The following is a 26523-nucleotide window of genomic DNA, read 5'->3' as shown; positions in this document are numbered from 1 at the left end:
TTTAAAGACGTCTTCTGCCTTTTATGTTGGCAAGTGGGAGAACTAGAGGGGACTATATAACCATGATCATTATCTACAGTTTTGGGGTAAAAGCTTGAGATATCAAGAGTAGCAAGCCAATTGCAGAGAGGAAACTGGGCCCTTCCTGTTACAAACGTCTTGTCCAAAGGATTACATGAACTAAAATGCAGATATGGCATATTGCAAAGAAGTTACAAAATCCATTACAGGCAAGAATTTAAATTTAGTCATGCAATTACATTGACCCTAAACTTGAATAAAACCGAACAGTTTAACTAAGTAAATGTTTTATTGAAATGTGATTTAAGCTGCTGCCCATCACTAGGGAACAATGACATCCTGGGACAGGAAATTAGAAAGAAGAGTTAATGCTACTAAGACAGATATGATATCCTCTCAACCCTTATTGCACCGATTGCTTCTCACCTGAACTTTCAATAATTCATATTTAATGAGACACTGCCACTGGGCTAGTCACAAAAGAAAATAAATCCCTGTAATAAATCCCTCAAAGAATGTACAATGTAGCAGGGTAGAAAAGATGAATACACAGTATCCTTAAAAGAAGGCAATCTTAACTAAAGCTTAGAGGGTGGATGAACTGCCTTTGGATGAAGGTTCCAGAACTTTTTCCTGAAGAAGATAACACAGTGGCCTTGGAGGATGGGTGGAATCTTGTCAGCAGACAGAGACTACTGTAGATGGGCTGGCTGAGTAAAGGGGTACAGAGAGAAGCACGTGTACTCAGGAATGGTATTACAGTTGGGGCACAGGATGTGGTATGCCAGGGCTGGGGAGGATAACTATCTCTTCAACTACAACTAAGAACAGCGCTTTTCTTCTCTCTCCATATTACCTAACACCCAGTTTGCTACATGTGATAGGCCCCAAATCATACTTATTGAATAAACAAAGAAGTCAATCCAGAGATTAAAAAATTGAACCTATTCAATTCATTTTCGCATTGCTGCTGCTCCAGATGTTCCTGGGCTTTCCTTTAAAAATTGGGTCACAGTAGAACACTGCATCTCCTTGGTTATGGACAGATACAGGCATTCTCTCACTCACAATATGGGAACATTTAAAGAAAGCTCACATGGCCAAGAGTGGTTGGGGTGACAAGTATGTATGTGGACATCTGGAAATTTGGAAAGTTTGAGAAAAGTTGTTGGGTCCAATACCTAGTGGATGTTGAAAAAAAAAGAACACTAGTCTATAAATCAATTCTATTACTACTATAATCCCAAAATGAAGAGCACTAATACTCATAAAAATTCCAAGAAGCTATCAGTACCTAGAAATTAACTTGTTTTATATTTTCATTTTCAGAAATATATCCAGTGAATGTGTTCCCTGCCCTGCCAGTAACTTGCTGTGCAACTGCAGACAAGAAGCTTAACTTCCTGAGCCCCCTAACAGGGAAGAGGGTGAAGAGAAGCTGACAACTGGAGGAGGGCCAGGCCTGTGGAGGTGGCCACACTCTCGATCTGCTCAGATGCATTTGTGGCACAGGTGAGCCCCACACCTCCTCTGAGCCTCACTCTCTGCACGTGTATCTGCTAGGCGGGGATGCTACTAAAACACAGATCCTCTTCACAATTTTTCCAGCCATTGGTTTCACAATATCTAAGGTACCTTTAGGTTCTAAAATGTCCTCTGGATCTACTTTATGATCTCATCTTTAGATTTAAGGACAAAGCCTTGAGAGAAGCATCTTCTTAAGTGAATCTGGCAACACGCAGTCTCCAAAGGCCATTTCTAAAGCATTAGTCATTAACAGCATAAATAGCAAACAAATAATGATCAGAATACAGAAATCAAACATTTAAAAAGCCAGTGGTTGCCAAATCATGGAACATATATTTATATATATTTTATTAGTCATCATAAATCCATTACAAATCATATATAAACACATATATATGTGTGTATATATATACATTTGCTTCTACAAACACACACACACACACACACACACACAGTCTAAGGATTACTATAAAGACAAAAGGAAAGCTATTTTATGCCTTAATGAATAATCTAAAGTCTACTACTTTTTTTTTTACATATATTTAGGGGGTATAAGTATGGATTTCTTATATGCATATAGTGCATAGAGGTGAAGTCTGGGCTTTTAGTGCACCCATAACCCAAACAGCAATCATTGTACTCAAGGGTCATTTTTCAACCCTCACCACCGCCCCCCCACTCTCCCATCTTTTGTAGTCTCTAAGTCCACTACTTTAAATGCAGCAGCACCCATAGCTACAAGCTTCAAATTCACAAGTTAGTGTGAATTTTACTCTTGTATTTTTATCAAGGACATATGTCTAGTGAACACATTGACCTTTCAACCCCACATATGAATGATTAAAGTTTTATATAGTCTAAAACATGGCCATTCTTCAAAGAGCAATAATGTTCTTCCTTAATGCAGATATCTGGTTATCTTTAGTGTTTAGATGTTTGATTTTTATAATTCTATATTATTTTTTAAAATATACACTCATGCAAACTCATACATTCCGACTAAAATATATACACTCACAGAAACTGAAACCTACTCTAAGTAACTATCCAAGAATACATTTACATAATATGGGCAGGAGAGAAGAAGAGATAGGTCATTCTGCTTATAAACAATTATGTTTTGAGACCATTAAGAACATTCGAGCCTAACTACTATAAACAAAAATCTAACCATAAAAAAGATCCATGTTGAGGGCTTATTACACATTTTGTTTTGACTTACTTTCCCTCTATTCTAGTCCACCTCTACCAATGATAGCAATTAGATGACATGTAAACTTCCTTTCAGCTCTCAATACTTTTATCTGCAAATTAAAGATTTATAATAATTAATACACTCTCTTGTCATCATGACCTAAAAGCATTCAAACGAGTCTTTAAATAAATCTGTTTTTGCACAAGTGGGACAAAAAGAAAAGAGTTGGGGGTCTTAATGCACCAAATGTGAATGATTAGTCTGTAATGTAATGCCGATGTTAATTTCTCAGAAGAAAGGTAAAGTAAGTAGCTGACTAGAATTTATAAAGAGAAATGTCTAATGGAGAACCAGAGCTAAATGTAAATCAGAAGTGAATTCTGTGTGCCCGATGAGCCACACATTGACCTTGCCTTATAACTACCAATCAAGGCTTCCTGTTCGCCCTGGGCAATTTTCAAGCAGACTTAATGAAATAGTTATACATGTAAGAAATGTAAGCCCAAATCTGAGAGGGTAACACTAATTTTCTAATAGTAAGGGTGTGATGTTATCCCCTGCACCACCTGGATACAATATAGAAACGTATAATAAACATTCTCCCAAAGTGCATTATTACCGTTCCACCAGGGTGTAGACTGAGATTGCTGCAGAGTAGAGCATTAGTAGAAATATCCCCCAAAATGTTATCCCCAAGTTATTGAATGTTATTTTTTTTAATAAAAAAGAAGAAATCAGTGTCTTCAAGTCTTGATTCTTTAATAATAAGCCGCTTCACAGCTCCAGGAGTTTTGAAGTGAACACATCTCCTCTGGTAGCCCCTCACCCCCAGCCTGCCAGCGTCTATGCAAGTGAAACCTATGAGTCTGTCTTACCTGTAATCTGACTCTGTCCTTGTGGATTAAAAGGACTTGGTGCAGAGTTCAGGGAGGGCCGTGGGTTCTGAGGCGGGACACCTACTCTCATACTGGGATGAGGAATGCGCCCTAAATCACTGAGGCGGTCAGAGAACAAACTAGGTTTAGAGTCATCAAGCTTCTGTCTGTGCCCTGGAAATAGCAAATCATAAAATAAAAGCATATTAATTAGCTGAACAATTGACCATGCTAAATAGATATGTGAACATACAAACTGGGAGTTTAAGCCAAGGAATTATCAATATTAATATTTATAATGACTTGTCTACATAATGCCTTCCATTTCAAATTGCTTTATAAGCGGTATCTGGTGGCCAGCATTCCTAGCTCTGTTTTATAAATGGAGAGCTGAGGTCTCAGAGGACAACTTGAAGTCAAGCATCAATAGAGAGGCAGGATACTAGACACCTTCTCTGGCCCTCTCAGTAAAAAAAAAAAAAAAAAAAAAAACAAACAGGAGAGATGTGTATTGGGGGTGTTTGCTTGTTTCATGATGGAGGAAATCCCCTCTGAAAGTTCAGAGAGTCCGTGCATGTTAGCCACAATGTCACAAAGCTGGAGCAGAGACACGGACAAACACATTTGTCAAAGGGAAATTTCCACGATGACCATAGTGACTTTTCTTTAACGTTACAACTACTCTTTACTAAGACTCTTTTCTGGAAAATTAAAACTCAAACCTAAACCCCTTTAAGAAATAAAAAAACAGAAATGTAAGCAGGGAAACTCAAATTCTCAAGAGGAATCTGGATATTTTGTGATATGCCAAAGCTGGAATGTGTATAATAAACTCTGTTAAATCAGAGAGAATGCTTTTTTATTTTAAATCCACTACTGTGGTTTTGGAAAAGAAGCTGAAATACACTCTTTAAGTAAACATGTGACTGTGACAATCCATTATTTGGCGGAGGGGGGGAGCCTTTCTATCTCTCTTCTAGTTTATTCAAGTCTAAAAGCTAAAGAAATTCTGGGTATTAGAGAAATGCACAAATTAAAACAAACCAAGATACTAAGACTTCTTAAAAATCATCAAATCATTCTTAACAAAAGACATACTAGTGTCTTGGTGCAAGTATAACAGAAAAGCATCTGAATCTGGGTGTACCACAGTAGAGTAAATCTATAGGGTGGTGCTATTGGGGACAAATGCAATGCTAATAGAGAAACAGAAATGGACTGGGGATTCCTTCCTCCAGATTCTGTGCCAGTGAGGCCCTAGGGTGCTGCCCTAACATTTTAGTATGACTATTAAGTAACTGAAGCTGATTCGAGGAAGAACCACCAAGATGATGATGGGATTAAGAGTTTGCCCCTTGAAGAGAAACTAAGGGAATTAGAATATTATCCATAAAAGAAAGAAACCTTGAAGAAGGTTTATGAAAAGCCTTCAAGCCTGGGAGTTTTTCACTACTCTATGGGTAGCGCAAACGCCTTAGCTTCCACTTAATACAGAACAAGAGGAATGTATCAGGATAGGGTTAAATTGAACATTAGAATTTCCCAACTATAAGCTGTCTTCGTAAGACAAATTCCTTATTTTATTTGCCCCAAAATGTATTTTCCTGTCTCCTTTTTCATTGCCTTCCCAGCCCAAAGAAAACAGATAGGAAGCCAAGGCTTGGTAATATGAGTGTAGCTGTCTCCACGGCCAAACGTGTTCCAACTAGGCCCATTAACTGAAATGCACCCACCACCCTATTTCCTGCCAGTGCAAGTTTTTGGGCATCTGCTATAACAGAAGGACTAGACCTAGGAGAAAAATGAACAGGAAAAATTAGAGAAATTCATTGTTAATGGTTGTTTTCCCCACCATTACTGTTTTGTATCCAGATTACAAATAGATTTTAGATCCCTAGAGGACTTTTAGAGATGACCCAAAACAACTCCTAGACCCTGGCAAGTAAGGTGTTCACCTATGAAGTGACTGAGGCCTGCAGAGGTAGAACAACTAGCTTATGGTCCTCGGCTGCCGACTAGCTGAGCCTTCACGAGGATATAGCCCTCGTCCAAGTTGACTGAGCTTTCCATTCATCACGTGGCACCATCAGTGCTGGTATTCTAGCTTTCTCTTCCCTTCCTCTTCCAGCTGCTATGGAGGACTGAAAATATCCAGATCATATAGAGTGAAACACCTAAGAACTAAGCCCAGTGAGGTGCCAAGGCTGGCTTTCAACATAAGCAGAAGTAGCAACAAGGATTCAATTACAAAGTTAATAATTCACCCATTACCCTAAACAAATGGCTGTAGCCTAACTCACCAAACTTCCATCAATACATCTTGCTGGGTCTAACTAGTTTCACAATTAGGGAATTATATAGTACTTGTCACAGATCCATGGAGTCTGTTCCTCACACTCACACACAGACACACACATGCACACACATAGTATTGGTGTGGTGTTGATACAGCTGTAAACATTAACAAGAAAGCTTACGGAATTGTCCCTGGAAGTTATTTTTCTTAATAGGCCATATTTTTGGAATGGCAGGTTCCCTGAGGGCTGAGGGGAGGGCTACATGATCTTGCATGGTTCCTTTATACACTAGGACTTTACGTGGGCCATGGGTCACAAGAAAATTTAATAAGCTTTGCCTCTGCTTTCTATAGCCTTTTCATTAGGTTTTCCTAGAGGCTGTATGAGATGTGAGCTCAGACTGTACATGTGTGAGTACATTTTTACTTTCTCTTAGCCCAGCGTTTTCAGGAGTAATAAGAGTTTGCAGGCAAAAATAAAGGACTTAGGCTAGGACTGGTAAGTGTGAAAAATTTTAAAGCAGGTGAAATTTTAAAACCCTTCATGATCTTTTGGAAATTATCTTCAAAGAACACTTCCAAGTATCTACAGGCACCCTAGAATAATTCAGGAAACATTTATCTGCAGATGCACACATACAAAAACATACGCATTTTTCTTTGTAGATATCTGCCCCTTCACAGACACCACTGCAACCACAACAAAATGCACTCTTCATAATGTATGAAGTACATTGAAGAACAAAGTACATTGAAGAGCAAAAGCCAAACAAGTTCTTCACATTTCAACTATGACAAATACCTGTTACCACTAAACCACATCAGGGTAACACTCGAATGATGGGCTGAAAGAAGGTGTACTTAAATCCCCAGCACCCAAGCAATTCCTTCAGAAATTAAGAACATGGAAGACCAAGGACACACTGACTAAGTCAAGGATAGGGTACTCTGTCATAGTGCAGTGAGGACTAAACCTCATCCAACGGGCCAACGAGTAGATGTTCCAAACAGGAGGAGGGTATGAAGAATGGAAAATTCCTGTATTATACTTGAGACTCTATGTAAAAATGCTCAGTCCTGGATCCCTTCTCTAGCTGAACTTCTCCCTGAATCCTTCCATCATTGCTGAATAAGAAAATTCCCTAGGGAGCTTTGAAACATGGATGTCCAGGCCCCATATCAGATCAATTAAATCAGAATTTCTGATAGTGGGACCTGGGGAAAAGGTCTCTTTTATTCAAGATTTCACCACATGATCCAATCTGCAGCCAGGATTGAGAACCACTGCCCAAGGTGATCTCAGTCTCATGCACTAAATACTACCTATTTATAGCAATGACTCCCCCTTTTCTGGTTGAGCCCTGACCTCTGTCTTGAGTTCCAGGTTTGTGTGTTCTACTGCCTACTTGACATCTACCCTGGGATGTCCCAAAGGCATCTTAAATGCAGTATATTCAAAACAGAATTTTTTATTCTCCCCTCCAAAAAAATCCTATTTCTCTCTAATAGTCCCCCATCTCAGTAAATGACACTAGCCACTCAGTTTCCTAAGCCAAAAGCCTAGACATTTTCCTTGATTTCTCCTTATCTCTCACTCTCCACATTCAATCCATTACCGAGTCCTGCCATTTCTTTCTGAATGCTATATCTCAAATCGATTCAGTTCTCTCCATTTCTACTGATATAACCTTGGCCTAAGACTCTAGCATTTCTCTCTGGGCAGCTGAAAATCTGTCTCCTTTTCAGTTTCCCATCTCAAGAGCTTTCCATATTCCTGAAGTGCTCTCCCCTGATTCCTTGTAGGGCCCACTCTTTCTTACCCCTTAGACCTCAGAATGAACACCACCTCCTATGAGAGGCCTTGTCTGCCTCCCATAACCAAAATAGGTTCCCACCCTCTTGAACACACCCTCTCTTTATTTTCTTTATGGCAGTCACCACAATCTATAATTATCTTGTGTATTTATTTTTGTCTCTCCTGTAAGACTGTAAGTCTCATGAGAATGAGCCCTCTGTCTTGTTTACAGCTATAATCTCACAACCTAGTTCAGTGCCTGCTACAGAGTGGGTGCTCAGTAAATATTTATGCAATAAGTGAATGAATGAATATTCTCCTCTTTTAGATAAATTCCTTGAGTGAAAGAAAATTTTCTGGTCCAGGACATCATATTATATATATCATATTCTTTCCCCAAAAAAGTTCTTCTTGTTTGACAATCTAGTGAATCTAGTGGGCAAAACCTTTCTCTAGAGATAAGCCCTTACTGGTGCTTCCTACAAAATTTTACTGAAGGACATTCATTTAAGTAAAAATTTGCTTTCTTTCTGGAAAACCCTATTCACTTTCACTGTAATTCTTAAGCATTGTTGAAAGTCACTGGGAATCAGAGAGATGAAAGGGCAATAGAAATCATTTAGACTCTAAAGTTTAGAGTAACATGCTTCTTTTATGGATGAGGACCCTGAGTCCCTGAGAGGGGACATGCCTTACCTAAAGTCATATAGTTAGTGGCAGGACCAGACTCAGTTTTCCTGATTGCTGGCCTGGGGCTGTTTTCTCTCCCATTGCCAACCAGCTTATTTCAGCTCATAATAGTTCAGCAGCAGTCATTCAGGGGAAATCATGATCAAAAATCAATTTAAAATTAAAAACAAAAAAGTGGTTTCCAGAAAAGATTTCTTTCAAAAAGTTGAGTGTGTTTAGCTGAATATGACTTTTGTTGCAATAAATTCAGGGGCACAAGAAGAAAGCATAATCAAAAGGTCACAGCATTCACACATCCTTAGAGCAAAGACAAATGAGAAACAGTTAAGTCCCTAAGCCATAGTCTAGCGAATCACCCCATTGTGCCCTACCCACAATGAAAGTTAGTAATACTACCATTATAACTTCTGCTTTCAAAAATCACACATCTGAAACTGGCACACGAAGACTCTGAAAATGTGGTCTGTGAACTATGAAAGTAAACTTGACTCTGTGTGATGTGACCCATTTTGCCCATTTTTATGAAAGTTGATTGAGAAACATTTAACAACTTCGGAGAGCTACGTGGCTCCCCAGCCAGAAACTTACATTCTCTGTATTATATCCACAACCTGATGCACTGCACCAGTCAGCGCACCCTGAAGAATGTCAAAATGCACTTACAAAAAACAAGGCACTTTTCATGAAGAGTGTGCCATGTGATGCCCAGTCTACCCTAATATGGCACAGCAGAATCATTTTGCTGATCACTAGGGCATGATGTTTGGCAGCTCATCTTTTTGGAGTAGTATTTTAACTTGATTTTAAAAATTCCCTAGGTATTTACCTGTATCCTAAGTATCATGAAAACATAATTTTTAAATAAAATAAAGTTTAAAAGAAGATCTGTAATAGAGCATCAATAAGGAAGCAGTACCATGTCCATATTTGGGTCAGTTAGTGCAGCTAATGTGTACTGGTTATCTACTACATGCAAGCCTCACTAGGTATTGTGAGGAGGAGAGGATAGAAAAATATATAAGATAATATCCTTGCCCTCAAGGAGTTCACAGTCTAGTGGGGAAGAAAGCAATTAAATATAACTGAAGAGAGGCTGTGGTGAGGGCAATCACTAAAATGCCATGATTGCGGATCAATTGAGAAAATCTGAATATGAACTGTTTTTAAATATTAAGGAAGTGGTACTTTCTGTGATTATGTAGAAAAATGTCCTTCTTATTCAGAAGGGCTAACATATAGTTAGGGGTTAAATATCATGGCAACCAGTATTTGCTTTACAATATTTGGGCAAAATAGTAGGTGAGGAAATATGCCAAAAAATAAATAAAAGGTGATGGGTAGATAGTATTGTATTCAATATAATCTTTATTTTTATGTTTGAAATTTTTCATAATAAAAAATTTAAAAAGTATTGAAGTATTATAGGAAGTGCAGGGGAGCAATTGATTTTGACTAAGGGGAAAGAGGAAACCTCACTGACAAAATCATGATGCCTGTCCTTGAAGGTTGACTAGGATTTTGATAAGCAGAGAAGAAACAAGGAAAGTTAGCTGGAAGAAAAATGATGAAAACCTGATAATAAATATCTTGTGAGATAAGATGATGCTAAATATGTGTATATATATATATATATATACACACACACACACACACACACACATACATATCCATGCACACATATATATACGCTTATCTATATATGTGTGTGATATCAATCTAAACAGACGCACACCATTCTTCAAACCACTTTATAACTCTAGTCTTACTACTATACATTAATTCTTCTAAGCTATGCAGTACCTATGGGAATCTGCCCTTTAAAGACAGCTCTCAGCCAGGCACAGTGGCTCACACCTGTAATCCCAACACTTTGGGAGGCCGAGGCGAGCAGATCACCTGAGGTCGGGAGTTCGAGACCAGCCTGACCAACATTGAGAAACCCCGTTTCTACTAAAAATATGAAATTAGCCAGGCGTGATGGCACATGCCTGTAATCCCAGCTACTCGGGAGGCTGAGGCAGGAGAATCGCTTGAACACAGGAGGCAGAGGTTGCGGTGAGCTGAGATCAAGCCACTGCAACAAGTGAGAAACTGGGCAACAAGTGCAAAACTCCGTCTCAAAAAAGAAAAAAAAAAAAAAAGAAAGAAAGAAAAGAAAGGAAAAAGACAGCTCTCTTAATGAATAAAACCATACTTTGGCAGTCCATGAGCCTCATCCACCATGCATTCAGACTTCACTGGAAGAGAGGGGTAACTGGGGAGACATGAGCTAATTTTGCTGTCACCAAGTATGTGATTGAATAAAGTCTGGTCCAATACTCTAGGGCTCAAGCCACAGGATGTAACAGTTTCAGAATGTTGTGACAATGATCCCTGGAGTAAAAAGGAAGAGAGGAGAGGACTTGCATCAGAATTACTATTTCTCAGAGAAAATTGGTTATATGTCCACAGAGCTGCTATTCCACAGCAGTTTTGGAAAAAAATAATGAGATCCTTCACTTCTAATCTATCCTAAAAGTGCTACATGAAGGAGTGTGTTTGTAGGGAAGCGTTAGGGAACAGGTTGACTAATTTTAAAGTCACGATTGCATTCCACATGTAATTGTTGCATTTCTACTTCTAAGGATGAGCCTTACTGTATCTTAGGGAGTTCAGTCGATGGTTTCCAGCAAAAGCAATAGCACAAGGAAGATTACCCAGACTCAAGTACATTCTTAGGAAAGCCACGCAAAGTTCTCATCCACATACTTTATTATAACTATTGAGGCTCTAAATTTAAAAACTTTGATTTTCTGCATTCCTACATACATGTAAAAATGAAGATACTACGGAGAAAAGTGAAAGTCTGCTCCTCTGTTTACGTTCAGATGACTACATTTCACTGGTGGTTTGTGAATGTCTAGGAATCAAAGACCTATACTCTTGTAATGTTTAATTAAGCCCTTTGCCCCTCCCTTCCTCCTCAAACCATCCCAACCAGCTTCTCTTCTGATTTCCTTATTTTCATCATCATCATTTTCTAGTCTCTCAGACTCAAAATCCAGCTTAGGCATATCTTTGTCACCTCCTTTCCTAGACCCCCATCATCCACTCCAGCCCATTTCTACAGTTTCTTCAGGAATGGGCCTCCACTAGAACCCTCCTAACCTCTGGCCTGTGGCTAATACAACAGAGTAGCAGCCTGGCATATTTGGAAGGGCACCAAAATGGAACCCTGTTGGTCTTAGCTTCCTCGTCTACCAAAAAATGAAGAGTTAGTTTCCATAATTTCTGAAATTCTTTCTGCCCCCAAATCCTAACATTCATGTCACTTACCTGCTCAAAACCTTTCAATTGTCTTCCATTGTCTATTGAATTAAATAGAGCCCCCTGAGCCCAGCAAATAAGGACCTGGAAAATATGGTCGCAATATGCGTTGTCACTCTCATTTCCAATGGCTACAACTGTACTGCTCCCAGCTTGTGCTCTACTCACACTGGTCTATCGACAGTCCAAATACACCCTGTGCCTTTGCTCAAGCTGTCCCCTCCACTTGGAACACCCTCTCCGCATCAACTCCGTTTGGCAAAATCCCTTCCAAGCTCAACTTGGTCATCACATTGTTCTGGTGTTTCCTGTCTCGAGAGCCTTGATGATCCCTCTGATTTATATCCCAGCAAGCTGACAGCAGCGACAACTATGTTTTGTCTACTACATGTGGTTATGCTTATGTGCAGTAGGCATCCAGTAAGCATTCACTTACTATGAATTGACATAAAATATTTATACAAAATTTCAAACCCTAATATTTTAGATTTTCCTAGACTTGACTGAGAGCCCCTTAAGGATGGGTGTCACATTTTATGTCTAGCACAAACTTGGAGCCTAGGTACAGAGAAGTCACACAACAAATGATTGCTGAATTAAAAAATAAGAACATGGATAAATTTAAAATTATCTGTACTTTTGTCCAGTAAAGACAAAGAAGACAGAAAAAAAAAAAGCTGGTTATTGGGAAACATTTCCCACAGTAAAATTGATGAGTCTATAATCTTTGCTGGGAAAGGCTGCTGCGTCATCTTTTTCCCTAAGAGTGCACTGTCTGATTCAGGTCAGAAACTATTTCTGGACTAGAATAATGAAATGGGCTAAGAAACTGTCTTCATGTTTAAGGCCTCTAGCCCTTTGAGCCGCTGGAAATTAATAGCCATGCAATATGATACAGGATAGCTCGTGAGTAGAGACAGCCCTAGAACAATGTTAGTGTGTGGCTTCAGACACAGGACCACAGATCATAAACAAATCTGCTTCCAGAAGATTCTTCTCTGATGGCATTTCAAAAATGAGCTAACAGAGCTTCTCTCTAAGGGCCCTTCTTAATACATAAACCAATTTCTAAAGGAAAAAAATCATAATCACTACCACATATCTTCAAGAGTCCCCTTTCAGCTCTTAAACAGAGTCAGGCACGTAAGATTCGGCGTTTATCAAGAGAGAAGAGAGGAAGAACAATTTCACCCAAGACAGGTCTAAAGCCTTTCCAGTCTCTTGGGTGAAACATAATTATGGGAAGAAAAATATAATCTACTCAAGAGACATAATTACATGGTTAAACCATAGACTCCATAGAAATATTCTAGGGACTCCATTTCATAGAAAAAATGTTAAAAGCTGAGTTTGATTTCTTTTAATACTAAAAGGCACCCATTTAGACCAGTGACATAAAGTTCACTATCTCAATCTCATATGTAGTCATATTTAAATACAATTAGATGTGTGTGAGAGAGAAGTGAAGGCCTGCTCCTTTCAAAATTTAGGCTTCTAAGGATTGAAGAATTCGAGATCTTTGAATAAATTCATAAATAAATAAAAGAATTGTACAATGTTAATTTGAATGTCTATAAATGCAAGTTCCTTTATAACTTTTAGGTTTTAGGCTGTGGCGAATCACAACAATCAAAGCATACAGTGTCTGGGAGAAAGGACAGTTATCAGGCTACGCCAATATCAGTCAAACTTCAGGAAATAAATTATAATAAACACGTGCTTACAGTATAATCCCTTTTCTTCAGATAATGGACTAAAAAAACTTGAGACGTCTGAAGAAAAAGAAACTTCATAGGAGGTAGGAAGCAAAAAAGGATTAAAAAATTTTTTAAAAAGATTGGATGAAAGCATCATGGAAATATACAAGATGAGAAGTAATACTTTTTGCAGGCAGGAAAAAAAGAGCTAACCGGGAATCCGGCTAACTTCGCCGTAGCTCCTCTCCCATGTCCTAATACACCTCTAACCTACTATGCTTCTTTATTACAACTCTACTGGTATTTTCTCATTTCAGACCTACTACTCAAATTTGTCTGCCTGTTGTTTCCAAGGGATGCTTCCATCCCTCCTTACTCCAATTCAAAGTAAAATTATATGAATTAGGATTTTTCAGAGTTGTAAGAGAATATAGATTTCATCAGACTGGGTTCTTCATTTTAGAGAAATAATTAATGCCCAGAAAAATACTGAGACTAGCTTTAAAGTCATGGAACTAGGCAGTGACACTGGGAGGCAGTCCCCTAAACTGCCTGAGCCTCCTTTTTCCTATACCAGGCTGCCACTGAGGGAAAGAAGAAAACGTGGAGCAAAGAGACCAGAAGGAGACATTAAGAAAAAGTGCAGAAGCTTACTTCAAAGATGTTATTACATTATGCCCAGTCTCTCTGACTCCGTTTTATCACTTGTTCTCCTACTAATTACAACTGAACATTCACACCATCCTGGACCATGTGAATCTTTATCTCTCCCTTGACTTTATGGGAAATGAACAAAAAAACTCTTTCTCTATGTCTACACTTTACTTCCAAAACTTAGTAAAACTTGAGTGTTTTAGTTCCAAAAACATTTTCTTTGCCTTCTTTTTCTGTAACATGTTCACACATACCACAGTTCTTTGTGTTTCGAGCACTTATAGAGACCCCACTGAGAGATGCAAAGATTTTTTTAGCGGTAACATTTTTAGCAATGGAAATAGCAGTTTTCGTAGTTGAACAAAAAGCATCACTGTTTATTTGCCAATCCAGCTAAACATGGATGGCATTATTCTTCAAAGAGTGCAGTGACAACTAGCCTACAAACAGACTGTCACGCAATTCCTGGATCCTGGCTCAATTTCCTTAGCATGCGATCCTTTCTATTTCTCTTTCATTATTAAGGTTTTGTGCATATTTTATGTGAGACAGAGAGTGAGACAGAGACAGAGACAGAGAAACAGAGAGACAGAGTGTTTTAAGCAAAAAGAAACACTACACAGATGTAATTAAAAAGGCAAAGGGCTCCTCTCTTGACATTCACTGCTGCAGCAGCAGAACATCATTCTCAATTTTCTCATTTCTGTAACAGGAAGAAAATGTTAAAAAGTAATAACCAAAGAAAAAGTCAGCCAACTCCCACAGCCTGGTCTTGCTGTGCTGAATGGCAGAGAAGATCACAGAGGAAGAAAAAAGAAAAAGACAGAAAAAAGGAGGCGGAGAATTTCTTGCTTAAACTGGACCTAGTCCAGCTGGCAAGAAGAGGTGGTTTTCTTAACGCCTGCAAAACCTGATTACTTTTTTTAAAGGAATGAAGAAGAAGGAGATGTAAACACAGCCATTAAAACAGATTTAAGGTACTTAGTTTTAATCTAGTCTAAGACCTTTTCAATTGTATGCTGCTCTGCAATTCTCTGCTTGCTAGACATTAATACAGTGCATAGGCACATGTCAGTGTCTTCTAACCAGTGAACGCTTTCAGCTGAGCTCTGTGGTTACCCTCTCAGGTCAGGCATGGAAGGAACAGCAGCTTAAGCAATAATGGATGCATGTCTGTTACGTGCTATGTCTGTCAGAAGTCTGTTTTACGACATTAAAGGACTATTGTGTTTATATCTACACAACAGGTCTTAAACAGATTGTTTAAACATGATTAAACAAGAGACGTCTTTGAAATAACCCCCCTAATAAAATTCAGATGGGTAAAGAACTGAAAAATGCAGTCAACAATATTTTGAAAAATCATTTCTCTCTAAGCTGCAAGAGTAACATGATATAAACTCCAAAATAAAACTGTTTTTACAAGTTAAACTCAAAGGATTACCTCATATATCAGCACCGCTTTCCAATGGAATAGCGTTTATCCACCTATCCATCCACTCTTTCTTAATGCTGTTGCACAAGTTGCTAGTCTTGATAGACAGATAATTGCTTTATTCAGCCAGGTGTAATGAAGGGGAGTCTATTGTGTTAATCCCAGTATTCTTATCTTCTGTGAACTCTGAATAAGGAACTGAAAACTCTACCTCTTCATTTCAGAACTACTGGAGTTTACTCACATTCAAATCTGTTAAAGTGTTCTTACATGCCACTCTGTCACTAAAGGTGCCAAGTATTTTGAGTAGGATCAAGTTATCGTTATATAAAAAGGAATCAAATGTAGTGTTAAATGGAGTTAGAAGATAGCAAGTTTTACTCTTCTTTTCAAGGCACAACAGATTTTTTTAAAGTGTATTATTCTCAAGCCAAAGGAAGCAGGTTGGTGTGGGTTAATATTAAAAAACATCCTTCGAGCGATTACATTTAAAACCTTTTTTTGTTTTTCAAAAGCAAGTGTAGTGTTAAGTTTTGTGGATATCTGCCTGCTGGCTTCATGCTGAATTATTTAATCAATAATGACAGTTTGGCAAAATGTTTTTCTTTGGTCCATATGAAATATATTCCCTTTTCCACATATACGTACATATATGTGGTTATAAATTTATATTATCTCTATTATATGCATACCTATGTGTACAGAGAGGAATAATCCAGCCAGAGGAACAGCGTTACTACTAACATTAGTTCCATGTCTCTATCCAGGTAATTAGGGATACCGTCCTCTCAAGGCCCCACATGCTTTATACTCTGCCCCATGACATCACAAACACTTCTGATCACAAGCATACCTTTCTTTGCAATAGAAACGTACCTTTCTTTGCAATAGGAAGTTCTCATCCTTCAGCCTAATTAGATGCCTTCATTTTAGTTCAAAATGATACATACCGAAGAACCTATGAAGCTCACTGGAAAAGAAGTAATGCAATCTGGAAGAATGGGATAATCCCTGAAAGAATATTATCATTTAATTCTTTCTCTTCTGGGTCCTATCTCTTTCATGGACCTTTCATTGAGAATGTTCTCAGGAATGGCATTCTTTCTGCTCAGAGGATGGGCTCTTCTCAAGATTTAACTTGCCTAATGTCTCAACAAATCCTACTAACAACCCTTGCAATTCAACACAGAAAGTCTGTCCTATTGCGTGCACCTTAATCTCAGCTACTCTGGAGGCTGAGGCAGGAGAACAGCTTGAACCCAGGAGGTGGAGGTTGCAGTGAGCCGAGATGGTGCCACTGCACTCCAGCCTGGGCGACAGAGAGACTCCATCTTAAAATAAAAAGAAAAGAAAAGAAAAGAAAAAAAAAGTCTGTCCTATGGAATTGATGACTGCCCAAAATGCAGTATGAAAGAGAACATGTGACTGAAAGGAGACATGGGTTCTGCTACTAATAGCAAGTGTGAACTTCTCAGGTACAGAATTTTCTCATCTGTAAAATAACAGGTGACCTAATTTGCAATCCTAAGAATCAATAAAGCTATGGATTCCTCACCTGTCACTATGAGTTCCACAAATACACACACACACACACACACACACATTTACACACAATTAGTGAACTTAATGGAATAGTTAAAAGACCAAGGCAGTGTCTGATTAAAAAGGAGAATCTCATTTCTAATTCTGGGCCTGACTATACAAGGAGCAGGAAAACTTGGGAGTCTATTCCTAGCTCTGCTACTAAGTTAGTTGTGAGGCTGTAGGCAAATATCTATCATCTCTATGATTCAATTTCCTCCTATGACTCAACTTCCTCATCTGTCAGAAAAAAACAAAGTATCTACAACACAGGGATGTCGTCAGGACAAAATGTAATAAGAGGTGAAAATGTCCTACACAGGTAAAACCACTATGCAAATGTAATCTTCACTTATCAATTAAAATATCCTAAGCATTATTATGTTTCATGAACTATGCTAAACTAGGGTGCTCACGGTATACTGGAGGCATCATAAAAACAAATAATTACAGCAGTGTGATAAATAATATAATTAAAGTATGAAAAGGAAACCAAAGAGGAGCCAAAGATTAAATACTTGACTTTCAAGAGCAGTCAGGAAGGGCTCCCAGAGGAGACAGCGTTTGAGTAGACTTAAAGAATGAGTAGAATTTAGTCAAGCAAATGCAGAAGAAGATAACATTCCAACCAGAAGGAACAGCAGGTGCAAAGACACCGAGATGAGAAAGTATAGAGTGAAGCAATTTGGCATCGCTGGAGCTCAGCCACAGGTGTGTGGGTGGAAGGCAGTTGGGCAGAGCAGATGCTGAAGGGCCTTGTCAGTGTGCCACCAAGTCTGAACTTCATCCTGCAAATAACAGGGAGACACTGAAGTATTTTAAGCAAGGGTGTGCCATGCATTGGTTTACAGTTTAGGAAGATTGCTTTACTTACAGGGGAAGATAGATTTAGAAGGGAGTGCAGTTAGAGACATAAAACCAGTTAGGAAATTGTTTTTACGTTATAAGTCAGAAGATAAACACTGAGAGAGTATACTAAGCTAAATCAGCACTAAAAGATTTGAGGGAGTGAATGTGAGACATAGAATAGAGGTACAGACAACAGTACAGTGGAATAATTAGATGTCAGAAGTAAGGCAGAGAAGGTGAGTCTCAGGTTTCTGGTTTGGTCACCTGGGTGAACTGTAGGGCACTCAAAACTGGTAAAACTGGAGGAGGTTCATGTTTGGGCAGAGAAGTTTGGTTGAAGTAGAGGTGGGGAATCCCTAACGCTGTGTTGGCCATGAGTTTGAAGTACCCATGGGACATATTCAGGTGCAGACACCCAGGAAGCAACCTAGAAATACCAGTCTGAAGTTCAGAAGAGACTGAAGATGCATTTTCAGTGGTCATGGGAACACGAAGTTAATAGTGTCAATGAGGACACTCAGGGAATGGGTACAGAACGAGTGGAGAAAAGTGTCTAAAAGGGAACCCTGAGAAGCAAACACTCCTAGGGTGGCTAGGCAAGGAAGAGGAACACAAAAAGTGATCTAGGAAAGAGAAAGATGAGGAGCCAGTGGCGGAGACAACCCATGCAGTGGCCACTGAAACGGTTCTGAATCTGCTCTTCTGCTGCTTCAGGGACCCAGGGGAGCTTAGCAAGAGAACCTTTGTCTGTGTCCAGGCAAGGGACACAAAGTTAGGTCACAATGGTAAAAAGGATAACTCTCCTTCATTCATTCCATACCCATTCCTCATGCAGCCTCATCAATCCCAATGGCTTCAAGTTCCTATGACTATGGAAAATGCATTTCCAGTTTCTACCAAGCTTCAGATTCATATTTCTAAATGCTTCCTGTACATCCTTGCATAAGAATACCTCTAATGATATTCATTATTTAAAGGGAAAGATAGATTTAGAAGGGAAAAATGTCTAAATACTATTAGAGGTATTCTTATACAAAGATGTATTATTTTCTAATATTTCAAAATGGAGCCCTAGACTGGTCTATAATTTTATATACCAGGTCGCAGTATAAACTTTTATTTCTTAACACTAATTTGAAAAGAAATGCATGCACAGTGTCTTCTGAGTTCAATCTTAGTCATGTTATTTTAAACAAATGGGAGAATTTTTTACCCAGTCTAAAAGCCCTCCCAACTGCATGACAATCAGCCCTTTCTGGGCCAAGTCACAAGTCAGACAATGGCTCTGTATGTGTCACTTGCACAGGCCAGAGAGTAGGCAAAATTTGTTCTCGTCCAAATATTATATAGGGAAAGCCAACATCAGAGTCAGCATCAAAGATGAGGGAAATCAAAAGAAAACATGAAGCAACAACAAAAATCTCCAAAATTAACCATCCTCCCCAGCCTATCTTCTGAGCAAGGTCCTTCCTCCCCAAAGGCTCCTTGAATCTCATGGGGCAGTATAGCTGACCACTTATCCTACCATTTGCCACTCCAGTAAGCTTAGGAGAAATATGGAAACAAAATAAAACAGACTCACTCCCTCTTTTCCATCCCATTTCTGCATTCTCATTTCTGTTGTCTATCAGAAAGTAACAAACCCTGAGCAACGTATAGTGGAATGGAAGAACAGAATCCATCTGTTATGGATGGAGAAATGGCAGGGATCCAATGCAACTAGTACAAATGATATCATTTATAGAGCTGCAAACTTAACTAATAAACACATATAAAAGGGCTTGAGAAAGAAAGTCTGAGCCACCAAGTTGGCCTGAAGATTTTTGGACCTCTTACTTTTCCCTATAAAAAACAGAACACCAGAGGTTGCTAAAATCTAGAACAATTTAGAATGTCCCTTGAAAAAACATGATTATCATCGTTTTGTAATGGGCTTATTTTCTAGTATTTCAAGATCAGGCCCTAGGGCTATAATTTTATGTACCAGTTCACCGTATAAATTGTTATTCCTTAACACTAATCTGAAAACAAACTTCAATATGTATTTAAAAGACTAATTCAGATACCTGATCTACTTTGTTCAACTGAATCATATCAGTTGAATATCTAGAATGTGCAAAACGTTATCATATTGTAGTGGTACAGCTCTAGTAGGGGAGATCAATAAATACAGAACTAAAAAATGACAGAATTGTTAAAATACTAGAGAAAGTGGCATTTAAAATTAGCTCTGAATGTTGAATAGGCCCTAGATTAATAGAGCAGATCACCACTGAGGTGGAAGGAACCACCTAAGCTAAAGCACTAAGGCATGTGATATTATATCTCCATGCCATACCTTCCATCAGTATACCTGCACATGGAGCCAGGGATAAGACAGTGAAAGACATATAGTGTTAGTCTCCTAAAAGTCATCATCTATCTACCTAGAATTTTATAACCAAGAATTTCTGCCAATAAGTCTAATTTCTAATCTTCAAGATTCAGCTCAAACGCCTTGACTTCAATAAAACCTCCCCTCCACCCTCAAATAGAAGTAAAAATGTTTCTGAACTTCCATGTCACTCCAGTTGCCACTTTCTTATGCCCTTTCTCATGTTCTATCACTTTCTGTCACATAATCATAGTTATTAATACCCATGTCTTATCTCCTAAAACAGATTAAGCTTCTTTTTTTTTTTTTTTTTTAAGATGGAGTCTTACTCTGTCGCCCAGGCTGGAGTGCAGTGGTGCAATCTTGGCTCATTGCAGCCTCCACCTCCCAGGTTCAAGCGACTCTCCTGCCTCAGCCTCCTCAGTAGCTGGGATTACAGGCACGTGCCACCACACCCGGAGATTAAGCTTCTTTCTAGCCCATGTGATGGGCCAGAGATGGGTCAGAACTCAGTCATCATCTCTGAATTCCCACAGCCCTTTCTTAAAGTGCCTATGGTAGGTACCCAGTAAGTGTTTGTTGAATAAATAAATTATTGAATTCAGAGTGTGATTCAGTGACCAAAGGTTCTATGTGCTAGCAACCATTCTACTTAATAAAAGCAGCTCTCACTACAAAAACAAATAAGGCAATAGAAAAAGCCATCTCAACCATTCACAGTCATAGATTATTTTGCCTTCTTCCTCTAGGATAAGAAATGAAAAGCTGGACTCAACATCTATTAAGTACTCCCCGAGAGTCTGATGCTCAAAGGGACATTTCAACTCCCCAGCATTACCAACAGCCAGACTAAACTCTACAGACTCTGATAAGATCCCAGGCTTATTAACAGATGTGAACAAACATCGATGGTTTGTTTATATTTCTTCTACAGCAAAGACTAACCAGGAAGACTGCCCACTCCTCTCAAAAAAAAAGATAAAATCCACAATGATTTCTCACAATGCACACATTGTATTGTCTACTGAAATACACACACACACACACACACACACACACACACATATATAAAACATAAAAATATGGTGGCCATTGTTTAATATCTTTTCCTAACTTAGTTTATTCCCAAATATTCCCTAGCCATTATACAAACTAAACTTTTATTCACTTTACCTTTTACTCTACTATACCTATCTCTAGGGCACAATAGCACTGTGACAAATTAGTTCAGAGAAAGTTTTATAGCCCCTGATGCTGGGCAAAGGGAAAAAAAAAAAAAGAAAACAGAAAAGCCAACTAAATCTGCACTAAGGGTTTGGACAGACAGAATGCAATTAACCTGACCTTAAGATGTGTTTTCAGGGTTGACAAATCATATTTCACTGGATTAAGGGCAATTTTTCTTTTCTTTTAAAGACAAAATCATTTGGCGCAGATAATAATTCAGACATTTACACCTGAAGTGGCGGTGCTGCGGCAGCTGAGCCTGCTTCTTTCCAGGACCTGGTGACCATGGTGGCATTTGTGAAAACGGAAAGAAAACATCTAACTTTCACAACTATGACCGAGGAAGAAAACTTGACATTCATTCCCACATATGTGACTCCTTTCAAGAACTCCTGACTCAAAATTTCAGAGGGAAGTGGCCCTGTAATAACATCTCTTCTGAGAATAGTGCCATATGGTTTTAACAGAGGTTTATTTCCTGAACCCAAAGAGGGCTGCTGATTCTCAATCCAACGAAAATAATTATGCAGACAATTTCACTCTATTACTTTCAGTGAAACCCATTCTGTGTGGTCCACACATGCCTGCTGACACCTTCAAAGAGACATTAAGCCATTTTTATGTACCATACCCTTAATGGGTGGAATGTAAGGTAAATTTCCTTGAAGATTAGCACCTGTCGTCAAGCATAAGGCAACACCGCCGCCACCGCTCCCCCACCTTTGAGTACCACATGTTAATTCTCAGAGTGGGTCAAAGAAAAGGAGAGAGATGTGTCCATCTTCCAAGTTAAGTAACAACTTATTATCAGTTAGATATTAAGGCAAACATACACACAAACACACATACACGCGCACATACACACGAACTGGAAATACTACATCTCCCAAAGTCAACAGCACTGCTGGGAAATTACTTCAGACACAATTGGCAGGTGGGAGGAATGGGGGAGGGTGGAGCTGGGGGGTGTGGGGAACCACTCCCTTGTGTAAATTCTAGCAACATTCAACTGCTAACCTTAAAATAATCAAGAGAATAGGAAAATAAAATCCCTTCAGCGCAAAGGCTGAACAACACAAATGCTGTATAAATAAAGATTTAAACCAAGGAATACAACTATTAAATAGTTCTTTCAAAGAAGACCACCCTTTAAGCCTAAGAATATTCCCTTAAGAACAAAATATGCTAACTCACACCAGGTTGCCCCTGAATCTCAATTTTATTACACTAGCTGGGTATGAAATGAACTGGTTCTCCCTTTCAGACGACTAAAGATTATTGAGCTTGAAAATGAACTGGTGAAAACAGGCTTTTATTTTGCCAACATACTTGGCCCATTGCAGAAAGATACCCTTTTCCTCCCATAAGATCTTTGCTTTCTAATACCCACCCACCTCTCTTTGAATCAATACAGAAACAAGCAAAAAAAATTACAGTTTCTCTAGATGTCCACGGGTGTTTCACTAAATCGAACCAAAATCACGAATACTCTTTAAAAGAGAGAGACAGAGACAAAGACTATAAGGAAAGCAGTGTCCAGGCCACAGGGTCAGAGCAGGAACCAGATACAAGCCAGCACAGTATTAACCACAAGGCAGGCCCAAAGGCTGCTCCGGGACTGTTTTCTTTAGACTGCCTAAAAGTCCTGCCAAGAAACAGACGGATGCTGCTGAAAGAATATCTTCCACAGCTGGGCATCTGGGTTCAGTGACAGACAGCCCCGCTCCTGTGTGTGTGGCCTGCAGAACATATCGAAAGCCTAGGAGGGAATATTTGGCAGAATGGGAGAAAACCTAAGGATGTTCTTTCTGGGGGAGAGGGGAATGTAATTCCAACATCATATACATCTGACTGAAACTTTGCCTTTGTTCCTGACACCCAGACTTAAATTTTGTTTCTCACTTTTGCTATCCGTTTCTGATGTCTGCTTACTTATTGGGTAGAGAAAGCCCTCTGCTCACTTTCCTTTCCAGTAATACCTTTACATCTAGTTTTTGCACCAGGCAGCACTAAGGCTATTTTGTTTTTAACAATCCAGGGGACTATTTAGATAAAAAATAAACTAAAAATCTTGAAATTTCTTAAAAACAGAAACAATTAAAAAATGGCCTAGTCGTGCATGAGAATTACTATCAAACAAGCTTCAGTTAATTTTCTTAAATTAAAAAAAAGAAGAACCAAGAACCCACTTACCTTCATTCATCAGATTTATTTTCTTAAAGCATAAGCAGTATCAAAGTTTAACTTTAATAGTATACTGGTTAAAACAGTAAAACAAAAACAGGGCTCTATCAAAGAAAAAAGACCAGCCTCTACTATATGCCCTTCAAAGGAAAAACTCAGCGCTTAATAGAGAAAAGGAAGGTAAATCTGAGAAATTAACCATTAATAGACAATACCTAACTTCCGATTTTGATGGAATAATAGGACACTGTCTTCATGATTATCCTATTTAAATAGCTTTGAAAATGTTGGCCGGGCAGCGGTGGCTCACGCCTGTAATCCCAGCACTTTGGGAGGCCGAGGAGGACGAGGTCAGGAGATCAAGACCATCCTGGCTAACAAGGTGAAACCCCATCTCTATTAAAAATACAAAAAATTAGCTGGGCGTGGTGGTGGGCGCCTGTAGTCCCAGCTGCTGGGGAGGCTGAGGCAGGAGAATGGCATGAACCTGGGAGGCGGAGCTTGCAGTGAGCCGAGATCGCGCCACCACACTCCAGCCTGGGCGACACAGCGAGACTCCATCTCAAAAAAAAAAAAAAAGAAAGAAAGAAAATGTCTGGGGCGAGGGATGTAGGTACCACTTGAGTTCTACATGCACAGGAAAAAATATGCACAAAACACCCTGCTTTTCAGGAACTTAGAAAGAGGATGATTCCCTGACTTATATCCATAAATATCTCCCAAACGCTAGCACTTTGTTAGGAAGTCATACACACTCCTTACAACCAGGAACTTATTTGTTCTGGACCTACTTTTTAATGTAACAAATCTGGTGACATCAATGAGTGGAAATCACTTTATCAAATTTAAAAGTTGAGGCACCTTTGCTAAAAAGAATGGGAAAAAATGCAGTAGTAATTTTCCACCCCCATTCCCAACCCCCAAGTGTCCACGTCCCAAGATGGCTCCTGGGTTGGCTTTCTATCATCTTGGCTCTAACTAGCAAAACTGAAAAGCTATACCGTTATTATTCCCACAATGCCATTATTATGTAAGCTTTTGTCAAATCTCAAATTTGGGGCCTTGAATCCACAAAGTCTAAGCCAATTTCTCTGGGACAGAGTGGTAGAGGAAATGGGTTAAAATGAATCAGTTTAATTTCTATGGAAACTTTTTTGCCCTCACAAAAGCCACAGGACTCGCCAGAGTCTTGAGCTAACAAGTATAAGAGCTACAAGAGTTTGAGGCATGTCTTCAGAGAAATATATTACAAGGGGAAACAGGCCTGTTAGTGAGACATTTTAATGCCCAATCATGGTGCTACAAAAAGGCACAGTTTCTGAGTCCCAAGGGAAAACCTCATAGAGACCAGGAGAAGTATTTCCGGTACCAAAGAAAGGACAATCTGATCAAAAGACAATCTTGGACTCACATGGAGGCCAGGTTGCTTTTTCTGAGTATCAGGGTCCACAGTGATCTCATCCCCCAAATCTGTGGTACTCTTGTCTGTATCACTCATGTGACATTTATCATACACTTCTTTGTAATCTCCTCTGGCAGATGCTTAACTTCCCAGTTCTACGTAAAATCCTTGAAGGCAGAGTACATCTTTATACTCCATTGTGTCTCTCAAACTACAAGAAGAGCTGGTTTTTAATTGACTGATTCAACCCAAGTCTGGCATTTTTCTATCAAGCTGGGCTCTGGGCGAGGCTCAAATGCATCTGAGGCAAGAGATGGAAAGAAAGTAATGAAAATTAATCATGTCATTTGGCCATATCATTTTCTTGGATCACTTTACATGGTCTCTACATTCAAAGACAAATACTTCCTACTTCAGAAAAAATTATAAACAAAGAGCTGTTAAGTTTCTTCTTGTAAATAGTAACGAACTTTTGTTGATTAGCACCTATGGTTCGACTAATTATTTAATAAATGAAAACACAACCATGAAAACTACACATTGCCAGAGTACTGCAGTTGGATTGGCAGAAAAAATATCTACTTTTCCAGTGGCGATAGTGTGTGCAGTAGCTTAAATGTGTTTTTCATTGTCAAAGGGGTCTGATTTCTTTCATATGGATATTGTTAGGAGGCTGAGGGTTCGTGACGGAGTTAAGATGACAGAAAATGAAGCCATGGCAGGAAAGACTGCACAAATGCTTGATGCTCCTCTAGTTAGAGATGAAAGGTGGGTGGAGTGAGCACTGGGCTTTCCTAGCTCATGTCATTGGAGAGGGATACTCAAAAAAGTTGAAAGCTTTCAGTTCTTGGAAATCTCGCTTACTCTTTAGACTCTATGTGTTAGAAGGAGATCTTGAGGGAATTACCCATAGTGGTTTTGAGGTTTTTGAATAAAGGGAGAAAACAGGGAAATTGTACAGGCATCCCAATTGACTTCACAAGTTGATTTGATCTGTACATTTCAGAATTGAATGAAAAAGAAGCACTTTCTCCGTATTTTCTCTACAGTGTTTGAATGCTGGTTCTTGCTATGTGTAGAGAATGATCTTATCTTTAATAATAATTCCAGTGGACACATATTCATAAGTATGTGTACAGACCAAACCATAGGCCTATAGGCTATGTGCTTTTCTGATATTATTTTGTACTATTAGAAGTTTATGACATGAGGATAAAATGTAAATGTTATAAAAACAAAAGTAAGTTTTAAATGTTAAAATAAAAACCAACCTTTTCTTTTTTCTTTACAAATATTCTTTTAAAATTAACCATTCATTTACCCGATAAACATTCACTGGGCACCTACTATGTGCAAGACACTTTGCTATTAATAGAAACACTGGGGAATATAACCTCTTATAACATGTAAATAAC

General features: G+C 38.9%; 1 protein-coding gene across 4 annotated transcripts in view; it reads right to left on the bottom strand.

Moving 5' to 3' along the window:
- Positions 1-26523, bottom strand: part of RUNX2 (RUNX family transcription factor 2) — a 222753-nt gene that overhangs the window by 55350 nt on the left and 140880 nt on the right. For all 4 annotated transcript variants that reach the window (NM_001024630.4, NM_001015051.4, NM_001369405.1 and 1 more), the window contains one exon: positions 3619-3792. In NM_001024630.4, the coding sequence (NP_001019801.3) occupies positions 3619-3792 (174 nt within the window). The remainder of the gene's footprint in view (positions 1-3618; positions 3793-26523) is intronic.

The sequence above is a fragment of the Homo sapiens genome, chromosome 6, assembly GCF_000001405.40.
Source record: "Homo sapiens chromosome 6, GRCh38.p14 Primary Assembly".
Lineage (NCBI taxonomy): Eukaryota > Metazoa > Chordata > Mammalia > Primates > Hominidae > Homo > Homo sapiens.
The sequence above is the reverse complement of the archived record's forward strand: the minus strand, read 5'-3'. Positions and strand labels throughout refer to the sequence as shown.